A 12,238-nucleotide genomic window follows, 5' to 3' on the forward strand; every position below is an offset into this window, starting at 1 on the left:
AGCTGCGGAGAAGAGCTGGCTAATTAACGCCTGGTTTGTTTGGGATCTGGAATACATTTCCATGCCGATGAGACGCCCACCCTCCTCCACTGCCTTGCCAGGATGCCCCCACCCCTAGGACACCCCATTCTGGAGTCTCCTGGTCCACTGCCCTAGACTTCCTGTGAGCCCTGGCCTCTGCCCCCGACAACCAACATCCCTCCTTCAAAAGCCCAGCCTGGCCCCAGGGATGGCTAGGCACCCGTGGGACTCCTGTAGCCTTCACCCTGGGTGTGGCCATGCTGCTCCGTGGTGGGTGCTGGGCTGTGGTTGTCTCCAGGCCCCAATACCTTCTGGCCTCTGCTGACTGTTAAAGGGGCTGAATCACAGACTGGCCTGTTGGGGTCTGAGTTTGCCCTGCACTGGGGCTGGGGCTGGGGCTGGGGCTGGGGCTGGGGATGTGGAGAGTGAGTATGGCTGGCGCTGGTCCTCTCTGCTCATGCATGTCTGGGCAGCTCAGGGAGGGGCTTTAGACCCCTGACCTTCTGTGGGGGGTGGGGCTGGGTCAGGGAGGTATCAGCACAGCTCCAGTTAGGGCCCCTTGCTGCCGCAGATCCTGGTGGACCTCTCAAACCCCGGTGGCCGGCCTGCCCTGGCCTACGAGAGCGTCGTGGCCCAGGAGGGCAGCCCCATCCTGCGAGACCTCGTCCTCAGCCCCAACCACCAGTACCTCTACGCCATGACCGAGAAGCAGGTGGGTGCTGCACCAGTCAGACGGTGTGGCTGAAGGTGGGGGCCCTCCTACCAGGAACCCCAGTCACAGAGCAGTAGGGGTGGGGCCACATCACAAGTTGGGCGTCCATGGCTCCTGGTAAAAGTAGTTTCAAGCTGGTCTGTGCTCTGCCTCCCTGCAGACTTGTGGGCTCGGCTGGGTCTGCAGGGGAACCGGTCTGGTCACCAGGGGCCCCACAGCCTCATTGCTGCCTCCATGTTCTCCTGGGCTGGGTTTGGCATTCCCACCCCTCCCCTGTTGACTTCCTGACCACAGAAACAGATGTATGAAGGAGAGCAATTTCAGAGGCAGGTGTCACTGGAGGGTTTGGGGTGTGTACTGGGCCACTGAGTCCTCAGGCCTAGGGCTGGGTCTCTGTCCAGTGGGTCTGCCCACAGGGCCTGTGGCTGGCCTGGTCTACCCAACCTGGTGCCTGGCCCAGCTCTGTAAGGCCATGGAGTTGAGTCCCTGGCCTGGCTTGCCTGGAGTCCACCCCTGCCCTATGGCCCAACCTGGTAACCTCGTGGCAGCTGGAGGGTGGGCAGATGGGGCAGGTGGGGCCAGGTTGGGCACACCAGCTGAGGCCAAGCCTCCCTCCCCTTCTGGCTGGCTCGTTTTTCCTCTGCCCCTCCTGGGCGCAGTGGGGTTCTGCCTTCCTGGGGACCTCAGGGACGTGCCTCCGTGGGCACTGGGATGCTGGGCTGAGCCAAGGAGCCAGAGTGAGCTGGGGCCCAGCCTGCCCCTCTGAGCATTGTCTGGGCCTGCATTGGAGCTTAGGATTGGGACCTGCCAAGCCCATTGATCGCTGGGGAAGCTCAGAGCTGGGAGGGAGTCCAGACAGATGGAGAGGAACTCTGGTTGAAGCTGCAGGTGCTTCTTTGATTGTCTCACCCCATATGGACTGTTCTCTCTGGCTGCTGCCCCCTGGGTTTCCAGGGCAGAGGCCTGACCTGTGCGACCTGGCTTGGCCAGGGCAGGGTCACCAGATCTGCCTTTGAATAGACTGAGAACAAGTGCAGGGCCTCCCCGGGCCTAAGGAGAGCAGAGTAGGGAGTCAGAGGTGAGGATGGTCAAGGACCCCTGGGGTGGTACTGGAGGGGCCTGACACCTCCCCCACACCAGGTGACGCGGGTGCCTGTGGAGAGCTGTGTGCAGTACACGTCCTGTGAGCTGTGTCTGGGGTCACGGGACCCCCACTGTGGCTGGTGTGTCCTGCACAGCATGTGAGTCTGGGCAGGTGGGCAGGGGCAGGCGGGGAGGGCCATGGTGGTCTCACAGTGGGGGAGGGGGAGCCTGGTGCAGGGCAAGCCACCCCGAGTTCTCTGCCCAGGTCCCGCCTGGCAGGCGGGCCCCGTAGGTCTCCCCATCCGCCCAGCCTCAACCCCTCTGCCTGCAGCTGCTCGCGGCGGGACGCCTGTGAGCGAGCAGACGAGCCCCAGCGCTTTGCTGCGGACCTGCTGCAGTGTGTGCAGCTGACTGTGCAGCCCCGCAATGTGTCTGTCACCATGTCCCAGGTCCCAGTAAGTGTGGCACCCCAGGTGGTAAGGGGTGGGGGACAGCCATGGGGACCCTGCTCACCATGCCTCCTGCTGCCTGCCCAGCTTGTGCTGCAGGCCTGGAACGTGCCTGACCTCTCAGCTGGCGTCAACTGCTCCTTCGAGGACTTCACGGAATCTGAGAGCGTCCTGGAGGATGGCCGGATCCACTGCCGCTCACCCTCCGCCCGGGAGGTGGCGCCCATCACGCGGGGCCAGGGTGAGTGGCCCCAACACAATGGTGCCCGCTGCCTGGCCAGGTCCAGGGCTGCAATCCAGTTGCCGCCTGTTTAGCGCCTCCCTTGTTCAGTTCCAAGGGCATGTTGGTGACACTCTGACAGCTGATATGGGTGGGGGTCTCACCACCTGCTGGTCTGGGAGTGGAGAAAACCCTCCAGGCATGTAGCCAGAGTGAGAGCCTTCCTGCCAGGGAGGTGGACAGCGGATACATCCTTCTTAGGATTTATCTTATGGGCTCACCATACATTTACAGTAGGAATAGCCATAGACACATGAGCATACTTCACCTCCGCTACCATAATTATTGCCATCCCTACTGGCATTAAGGTCTTTAGGTGTCCCATGGTGACCCAGAGGGTGGAAGAGCAGGGCAGGGTAGGTGGGATGAAGGGACCACATGGCGGAGACCTGGGGTCTTGCGGGGGGCTGCAGGCTGAAGGTGGGAGTGGGTGAGGGGTGGGCTATGTGGGGCGCAGGTTGGGTGGGGGACAGTCTCATGGGGACTTGGGGTGCAGGACCCCTCTGGCTGCCACAGCCCGTTGGACAGTCGCTCTGCAGGCCCTTCCACAGGAGCAGGCAGCCTGGGGGCCTGGGGAGAGTCTCGCGGTTCTCAACCCCTCACACTGAGCAGGAGGCAAGCAGGGCAGATCCCAGGCCCTGGTCACCTGGGGGCTGAGGGGGCTGGATGCGTGTTTGATGCGACTGATGGTGGCAGCTAGGAGGGTCTCCGGGCAAGTTGTTCCCCTGTCTGGACTTGCCCTGTGTGGGAGTCCTGGGCAAGCAGTCCTGGTGACTCAGCCATGCTGCTCGTGCAGGAGACCAGCGGGTGGTGAAACTCTACCTAAAGTCCAAGGAGACAGGGAAGAAGTTTGCGTCTGTGGACTTCGTCTTCTACAACTGCAGCGTCCACCAGTCGTGAGTGTCTCTAGGCCCCTCCGCCCGCCTGGGCCTGGGCTACTTGCCCCACTCCCGTCCCTGTGGTCCCACTGTGCTTGCTGTCTGCAGACCTGTCCTCATGTGGCCAGGCAGCAGATGGTGATTCCATGATTGGGGCTCCTGAGGCTGGGCGGTCAGGGAGGGAGGAGAGGCCACTGTGAGAGCAGCTTGCAGGTAGAGGAGCCAGCCAGGGCAAGGCCATGAGTGCAGAGGGTGCCTGAGGCTGGGGCAGGCGTACCAGGAAGCAGCAGTCAGAGTGGGCGGCAGTGCCTGCCCCACAGGGATCTTGTAGGGCCCCAGGTGGCTGTGTATGGCTGCAAGGGCACATTGTGCAATGTTGCCACCGTGATATGGACAGTGGCCCATGGGCACTGGCATGGAGGGGAGGCGCTCAGGGAGGAGCTGCGGGCTGGTTTGGGGGCCTGAGCAGGGGCCCAGACACGGCCCCTGGGTACCTGCTGCTTCTGGTTGTGGCAGGCTACTGTTGGACGATGCAGCATCCAGGTCCCCTCTGGTTGGTGCTGGCCCCTGTGCACGCCCCCTGCTTGGGCAGGGAGTGTGTCTAGGAGGCAGCTGCTATGCCTGCTGCCCATTTTGGCTGTGAGCACCCCCAGCCTCAGAGGAAGGATGGGAGGATCTGGGGGCCTCCTGTGAGTCCCACTGTGAGCCCAGAGGAGAGCCCTCACTCCTTCCCTGAACCAGAGGACCCAGGCTGAGGCAGTAGGGTTTGGCCTCAGAGACAGGAGGTGCGTGGCTTTTCAGGTATGCTTTTGTTTGTTGACTGACTCACAGATGGACTCTGTCACAGCTCTTTGTGGAGCAACTGCCGTGAGCCAAGCAGGCTTTTTATTTCCAGGATGCAGCATCTCCCGTCCCAGGTGGGGTGGGGGATCTCTGGGGCAGAGGCCTGGAGGGGGCCGAGGGCTACAGGAGAAGCAGGGTGGTGGGGGAGCTGGCGGGTCAGGAGATCCTGGAGAGGAGATGGAGGTGGTGTCTTCCTGGAGGCTGTTGAGATGGCAAGGTGCCAGCCCTGTGCAAGGCTGAGTTGTGGGCAGAGCGCCTACAGTGGCCAGCCTGGCAGACCCTGGGGTGTGTCAGAGGGAAACAGACAAGCTCCTGCCCCAGCGATCCTGCTTTCTGCAGGGAGGTGATGTGCATGGCCCTGTCCAGTTCTGTGGCAGCACGTGCTGCTTCAGTTTAAATCTAAGTTTGCCAAAAGGAGTCAAGACTTAAAATGAAGTTCCTTAGTTGCACTAACACATTTCTGATGCGAGTACCCATGCCTGGCTGGCAGTCAGGTGGTGATCAAGGCTCTGGAGGAAAAAGCGGCAAAGAGGATAGGGAGCCTGGGGTCAGGAGTGTGGGCAGGCAAGAAGGTGGGGAGGCAAGACACCTCCAGCTGTCGGGGAGGTGTGAGGAGGCAGAGAGGCAGCCACATTCAGGTTTGGGGGAAGAACTTTCCAGGCCAGGAGCAGTCAGTGCCAAGACCCTGAGGTGGCACTATGAATACCAGCAGGGGCGGCACAGTGTCCTTCTGATCATGGGTGACTCCACGTGGTTGCGGGTCCCCAGGCTTCAGCACCCACCCTCTCCCTGCAGCTGCCTGTCCTGTGTCAACGGCTCCTTTCCCTGCCACTGGTGCAAATACCGCCACGTGTGCACACACAACGTGGCTGACTGCGCCTTCCTGGAGGGCCGTGTCAACGTGTCTGAGGTAAGGCCGGGCAAGGGTGAGGGTCAGGTTTTCAGAGGTGGAGCAGAACTGGGTTGAGACATCCCATCTGGGTGTCGCCTGAGGCCTGGCCCAGGGAGCACCTGTGGATGTCTGGGATGTCACCGTGTGGTGCATGCACCACCAGGCTGGGTCAGTGAGGTGACCCTGGATGCCAGCTGGGAGGCCTGTGGGGTCACTGTCTTGGCCTGAAGTCAGGCCTGTGGTATTTGTTGGTGACCCCTGGGTGTCCTTCGTGACACTCAGGGAGGGGGAAAAGCCTCAGATGAGTTCTGTCCCTGGGCCTCTGTGTGGGGGCTGCAGACACGGGCTCCTGGGTGCAATTGGGGGCACTGTCAGGCTGCAAAGCAGGTGCGGGCAGAGCCTGGAGTGCGGGTGCCTGGCTGGGCAGGCACAGAGGCCTCCATGTTGGGCAGGGGAGCTTGCCGGCCTAGCGTGCCTGAAGGCTGGTGGGTTCTGGAGTCACCAGGCGCTGAGTGGTAATTGCTAGTAATTAAGTAGTAATTATTCTGGGCTGGGCAAGGCACTAGCTTTATGAACAGCAGGCTGTTCCTTCTGGAACATGAGGCGCTTAGTAGCAGGACAGGGCAGGACCCAGGGCCCACAGGTGCTGAGTGGCAAAGCTGAGGCCGGAGCTGTGGCAGCCCCCACCCCCATCCCCACCGGGTCTGGCTGTGGGTGTGGAGCCGGGACTTGCAGCCAGGTCCCTTTCCTTTGCTGTGGACACTCCGCCTGTTGGCTGGAGGGGGCAGGTTCTGCTTGCCAGGGAGACCTTGGAGGCTGCAGCTGGGCTGCACTTCCCTGCCAGGCTGGGGGCTGGGGGCTGAGGAAGTTGCATGGTGGCCCTCTCTCCTCTGGGTCCCTTCTCACAGAGGTCCCCTGGCCCCCAGCGTCACCCTCTGGACTGGACTTTTCTGCTCCCTGGCATGACATCAGGGCACAGGACAGCGGTGGAGGGTAGCCCGGGGCAGCAGGGACCACAGTGCCTGTGTCAGGGTGACTGCCTATAACAGTGGGTATGCAGGAGCCAGGGACACAGTGGGGCGCTTCTCTGGGGGTGCGGCCTGCCTGAAGAGCCAGGCCAAGGTGTCCTGGGTGTGGGCAGAGCCCACGGTGGAATCTGAGGCGAGAGCTGGTCCTGGGGGCCTCTCGGGCCAGGGAGAGCTGGGCATGAAGTCACTGTGGGGATGATGTGCAGATGCAGTGGCTTTGGCGCTGTGCGCAGCCCAGGGTTCGAGCAGTGGGGGGCAGCACAGTGGTCGTCAGGGGTGGTAGCAGGGCCCTGGGCAGCTTGGGATGGTTTTGGGGCTGAGATAGCCCAATTCCTCAGTGGCAGCCTTCCCTGAGCCCTCCCCATCCATGCCATGAACTTCGAGGCACCCTTGGGGAGTGGAGGAAGTGGCCCCTGGAGTAGTGGCCCTAGGCCTCAGGGTTGGGGAGGCAGAGCAGGCAGGGCTGGGCTGGGGGCACGTGTGGGGTCGCAGGACTATGTGGGGAGTGGATTCTCTCCACAAATACTTACTCTTTTTTTTAGCTTGAGTCCCAGATTTTTATGGAGCCATTCCTAAGGGGTGTGACGTGAGTCCTCCGGGACTCAGGGAACAATGGCCAGTGGCAGTCCCCCCCCAACCCCCCCACAAGCCCTCTTTCCGTCTCTGTTTCTGGTGGGTTCCTCGGGCCACCCCCTGAGACAGGAGTGTACTACATTCAGCTTCCTGCTGAGACAGCCGGGCCTAACCCCCAAGGCCACCATCCGCCCCCTGCCCCCATGCTGGGAGGGGGTCTCTGTGGCCCCTTCTTGTGCCTGCCTGCATGCTGGGGTCTGTGTGTTTTGTCTGAAGGCGGAGTGGCCTGTGCATGTTGATGGGAAGGGCCGCCAGACTGGGGCCATGGAGGCAGCTGGTGCTGTGTGCCAGGGCCTAAGGGCTCCCACGTGGAGCCCCCACCGAAGCTGAGCTCATGAGACACGCTGAGAAGTCGGGACTTTCTCTTAGAAATGCCTGTTTCTGGACTCTGCAGAAAGGGAGGAGTGTGGTTCGTGTCTTCACATAACAGTTGCATGCCCCGCCAGTCAGCTCCCAGATCTGAGCAAGTCTATAGACTCCTTGCTTGAAGGAGAGGCTGGGGTCCCTTGAGGAAGGAGCCTTGTGCGCTGGCAAAATGCACCCTGTTAATCTTCCCCCAGCGTTTCCCAGAGGGACCTCCAGCCTTTTACCAGGGAGACTATGCACTGGGGAGAAGGTTGTAATCGGAGCCTTTGGGGACAACCGGACCTGGCTCTGAAGAAGGACCTCCAGCCTTTTACCGGGGAGACTATGCACTGGGGAAGAGGCTGTAATCAGAGCCTTTGGGGACAACTGGACCTGGCTCTGAGCTGTCATTGATCCCAGGAGACCCACGCCACTGCAGGCCTCCTGTCAGAGTCAGAGTCAGGCCAGGTCGAGTCAGGTGATCACTGGAGTTTCAGCCTAATCCTGACTCAGTGGGCCGCATGGGTGCCGAGCTTCCTGGGTTCTCACTCAGCTGGGTGTTGGGGAGGAGATGGGGTGGGGGTATGGGGAGCACCTGAGAGGACCGGGTGTGGCCCAGGCAGCCAGTCAGCTTCCTGCACCTGGCAGAGGGCAGGGGTGGCGAGGGGACAGGCCAGCTTCAGGGTGATGGGGCAGGCAGGTAGGGGCCAGCCACATTGGCCTTGATGCGTGCTGGGCCCACACGCTCACACTGGTGTTGGGGTGGGTGGTGCTTTTTCCTGGCTGGGACCTGGGTTCTGGGGGTGGGCCATGACTGAGACCTCACGCCAGGTGAGCCAGCTTCATGTCTCGTGCTACCGGCCAAGAGGTTTCCTGAACTTACGGGCACCAACAAAGCCCGTCCCTCACCATAGTCACCTTCTGGCTTGCTGCAGGCTGAGCTGCCTGGGCTCCTCTGGGCATTTTTCAGTTGGTTGGATGGTGGGGGCAGCTCAGCTGGTCTCAGACTGACCATTCTCGGGCGCTCACGGGCAGCCTAGCTTGGACTGAAAGGAGTCTCAGTGCCCTGAGCCACCCGTTTTCATGGCTGGGGCCCTAAGGTGACAAGGCCCACGGTGGCCCGTGTCACGGTGAGACTCCAGCCTGAGCCTCAGCATGCAGAGTCACTGGGCGCGCCTCAGACTGCCAGGGAGGTACAGCATAGGTATGGCCACTGTGCGTGCCTGTGCCTTCCGGCTGCAGCTGTTCTGGGAACACAGAGTTGCAAGTGCAGCCCCTAAGTTGGGGCCAGTGGCCCTAGCTGCAAGGTGCCACCACCTGCCTCTCCCCAGTGGACACAGGAGCATCCCTGCAGACCCAGAGATTAGTGGTCATCTTGCCCAGCTGGGCCTTGTTAACTCTGCTTCCCTGGAGCTCCTGAGGGGCCAGGCCAGAGTCCAGGCCCCCTCTTGGGTCCTGGAAAATCTCTGCAGAGCTGGGCCTGGGCCTTCCTGCCTGCCTTGGGGGCTGTTGCAGGGCTTGGGGATTACAGCCTGTTTTCAGCATCCCTATTTAAAGCCCAGCTTCTCAGTGTTCCCGAGGGGCCATCTCCTGAGGCCAGCAGCAGCCATGCTGCAAGGAAGCCAGGCCATTGCATCAGTTATTGTTGCCGAAATGCTGGCCCCAGAGGCCAGGCCTGTTTTTCTGCTGGGCTCTGGCTATTTTTATACACTCCCTGGGCCCCCAGCGCAGAGCCTGCAGCCCCAGAGCCCCAATCTCTTCTGCCTCTGGGGCCTTTTCAGCTGCTGGCCAGATGGGGCTCCTTTGGTCTCTGGAATGGTGGGGGTCCTAGAACATGGGGCAGGGCATTCAGGGGCCAGAGGTAATAGAGCCTGTCTGGGTCATAGTATGCAGTCACTGTCCCAGCCAGCGGTCCTCAGTTTGCCAGTGCATAAAATGGGCACATTGGTGCTTGGCTGGGAGCACCACAGGCCCAGTGCACATCTGGAGCGTAGTGGGGTGCACCTTGCTCACTGGTCTCCGCCCCCGGGCTCAGCCAAACTCTTCTTATCCCCAGGACTGCCCACAGATCCTGCCCTCCACGCAGATCTACGTGCCAGTGGGAGTGGTAAAACCCATCACCCTGGCCGCACGGAACCTGCCACAGCCACAGTCAGGCCAGCGTGGATATGAGTGCCTCTTCCACATCCCGGGCAGCCCGGCCCGTGTCACCGCCCTGCGCTTCAACAGCTCCAGCCTGCAGTGCCAGAATTCCTCGGTGAGGTGGCCAGGGCAGGGGCTGGGGGCCGTGAGCCGGAATGGGCCGGTTATCCTCACGGCCCTGGGTCCTGGCGTGTGCTTGTTCATAAAGGGCAGTGCACGTGCTCACGTGTATCTCTGATGAGTCAGAAGCCACTCCTGGCTTCCCCAGGCCATTGCCAGGCCCTTCAGATGTGCCTGGGTCATGTAGGCAAGTGGGCTGCAGGGGGCCCATGCTGTCCTGGTAGCTGCTGAGAGCACCCAGTTGTGTGGTGGGAGCAGCCTGAATGTGGGAGTGGACAGCAGCCAGCCTCATGGGACTCGCACATTGCAGCATCCGTGGGTCCCAGGCATGGGCTGATCATCAGGTCTGAGTGTGTGCAGGAATAGCCAGGTGGCTGCCAGCCTTCATCACTGTGGCTCCCGGAGGGCAGAGGTCAGGGTGCCAGAGCGCATGGCTCCGTCCATCCCTGGCCAAATGCAGAAAACACTCCCATTGGCCCGCACTTGCACACTAGCAGACGGTTGTTGCCTGTGGTCCGAGCATGCGTAGACCTTCAGATCTGACACAATAGTGTTTGAAAAGCTCTACTGTCAGGTGCAGTGCGTTCAGTGACGGGATCTCTATAGAACCAGCCATTTCCTGAGTGGTGGGGGAGTGGGGCCCAGTTGCCCAGCAGTTGGAGGCCTGGGCTGAAGTCCTGCACTCCCAGTAGGCCTCTGTCTCCCCTTCTGCTCAGGACGGGTGTGATCCAGGGAGCAGTGGGCTTCCTGTAACTCACTGCAGGGGCAGGTGGCTGGGCTGTTGTGTGGGGCACTGGGCTGTCGACAAGGCCTTGGCTGGACCCCATCCCCTGGAAGCCCTGGGGAGGGCCTTGATGGGGTCAGAGGTCTGGAGCCCCTTGGCTGACCCCTGGTCTGTCCCAGCAGTGTGGGGTAGGGTCTGGAGGGTCACAACAGGCTTCCTGGGGCAGGTTGGGTTGCAGGTCAGCCATGAGGATCACTCCTGGCCACCACAGCTATCTGGAGTTCTCTCTGCCATCCAGTCTTTCCAGACATTTCTGTTCTATCACCAACTCTTCGCCTGCCCTGCACTTTCCACCTGCGTCTCCCTCCCCACCCTCCCTTCTCACCAGGCCCACATTAATCTTCCCTTCAGCTGTGTTTAAAGGGAAGCGGGAGTATCGGGGAATTTGACAGGATCCAATTAAATTCCTGCAGATAAAATAATGATGAATTGCCGGGCCGCCCCTTGGAGATGCTGGGCTCCCTGCACCGTCCCAGCACGGGAACAGAGTTGAGGTCATCTGTGGCAGAAAGTGGGGCACAGCTGGAGTCCTAGCCAGGCTCCCGGGGAGGGGCAGTTCCCCTGGGCCCAGCCCAGCCTTGTTGAGGAGGGGACGGGGAGCAGAGCTGCACCTGACAGTGATTTTGCCTGTCTCTGCCCCAGTCCGGGGACACGGATCTCCCACCTCAAGGCAGGGCAGTCCTGGCCCATTCAGCAAAGATGCTGAGGTACACAGAGCATGCTGATGCGTATTCTAGGGCCAGCTGGGAGTCTTGGTTTCCCAGCCTGGCTGACTGTAGGGAGTGGTCAGAGGCTGCCTGTGGTTGGAGGTGGTCTCCAAGGGGGTGCCACAGAGGTGACTGTGGGAAGCACAGAGGTTCCCTTGGAAGGGCACCTCATATGGTTGCTAGCCTGGAGAGAGGGGGCTCTGGAGCCAGGAAGGAAGTCCTGTGTAGGATGAGGGTGGAGAGGGAGCGGTTGTGGCTGCAGAAACTTCCCCCTAAGCTGGCGCCCTGGTGGCTTTGTGGGCGTGAGGCTTGGGAGGCCTGGAGGCCGCTTAGCTGGGAAGCCTGACGGTGCCATCACCTAACAGTACTCCTACGAGGGGAACGATGTCAGCGACCTGCCAGTGAACCTGTCAGTCGTGTGGAACGGCAACTTTGTCATTGACAACCCACAGAACATCCAGGGTGAGTGGGCGCCCCGGCGGGGTGGGCAGTGGGCGGGCCCGAGCTGACCGCACCCCTCCCCACAGCGCACCTCTACAAGTGCCCGGCCCTGCGCGAGAGCTGCGGCCTCTGCCTCAAGGCCGACCCGCGCTTCGAGTGCGGATGGTGCGTGGCCGAGCGCCGCTGCTCCCTGCGACACCACTGCGCTGCCGACACACCTGCATCGTGGATGCACGCGCGTCACGGCAGCAGTCGCTGCACCGACCCCAAGATCCTCAAGGTAGGGCCCCCAGCCCTGCCCCCACACCCCATGCCCCGCCCTGCACCACCGCACACCCTACGCCCTGTGGGATGCCTGTACCCCAGCCTCTGCCTCCCTCAGCTGTCCCCCGAGACGGGCCCGAGGCAGGGCGGCACGCGGCTCACTATCACAGGCGAGAACCTGGGCCTGCGATTCGAAGACGTGCGTCTGGGCGTGCGCGTGGGCAAGGTGCTGTGCAGCCCTGTGGAGAGCGAGTACATCAGTGCGGAGCAGTGAGTGCAGCCCTGGGTGTGTGCGGGGCGGGACGGGACGGGGCGGGGCTCCTGCAGCCCCTGAGGCCCGCCTGCCCACAGGATCGTCTGTGAGATCGGGGACGCCAGCTCCGTGCGTGCCCATGACGCCCTGGTGGAGGTGTGTGTGCGGGACTGCTCACCACACTACCGCGCCCTGTCACCCAAGCGCTTCACCTTCGTGGTGAGTCTGCTGCCCTCCCTCTCTCCCTATTCTCTGCTGCTCTGAGAGGGTGCCGCTCAGGGCTTCTGTGCCTCTTCAGGGCCCCTTGTCTGGCCATGCTCTGCCACTGCTTTTCCACGGCCTGGGTGCTGCCCCTCCCCTCCT

General features: G+C 62.0%; 1 protein-coding gene across 1 annotated transcript in view; it reads left to right on the top strand.

Annotated features, from left to right (window-relative positions):
- Positions 1–12,238, top strand: part of PLXNA1 (plexin A1) — a 54,275-nt gene that overhangs the window by 19,623 nt on the left and 22,414 nt on the right. The window contains exons 4-14 of the mRNA NM_032242.4: positions 593–733; positions 1,874–1,974; positions 2,148–2,271; positions 2,353–2,506; positions 3,342–3,441; positions 5,062–5,176; positions 9,221–9,421; positions 11,283–11,379; positions 11,445–11,638; positions 11,741–11,892; positions 11,974–12,094. Of these exons, the coding sequence (NP_115618.3) occupies positions 593–733; positions 1,874–1,974; positions 2,148–2,271; positions 2,353–2,506; positions 3,342–3,441; positions 5,062–5,176; positions 9,221–9,421; positions 11,283–11,379; positions 11,445–11,638; positions 11,741–11,892; positions 11,974–12,094 (1,500 nt within the window). The remainder of the gene's footprint in view (positions 1–592; positions 734–1,873; positions 1,975–2,147; positions 2,272–2,352; positions 2,507–3,341; positions 3,442–5,061; positions 5,177–9,220; positions 9,422–11,282; positions 11,380–11,444; positions 11,639–11,740; positions 11,893–11,973; positions 12,095–12,238) is intronic.

Source organism: Homo sapiens, chromosome 3, assembly GCF_000001405.40.
Source record: "Homo sapiens chromosome 3, GRCh38.p14 Primary Assembly".
Lineage (NCBI taxonomy): Eukaryota > Metazoa > Chordata > Mammalia > Primates > Hominidae > Homo > Homo sapiens.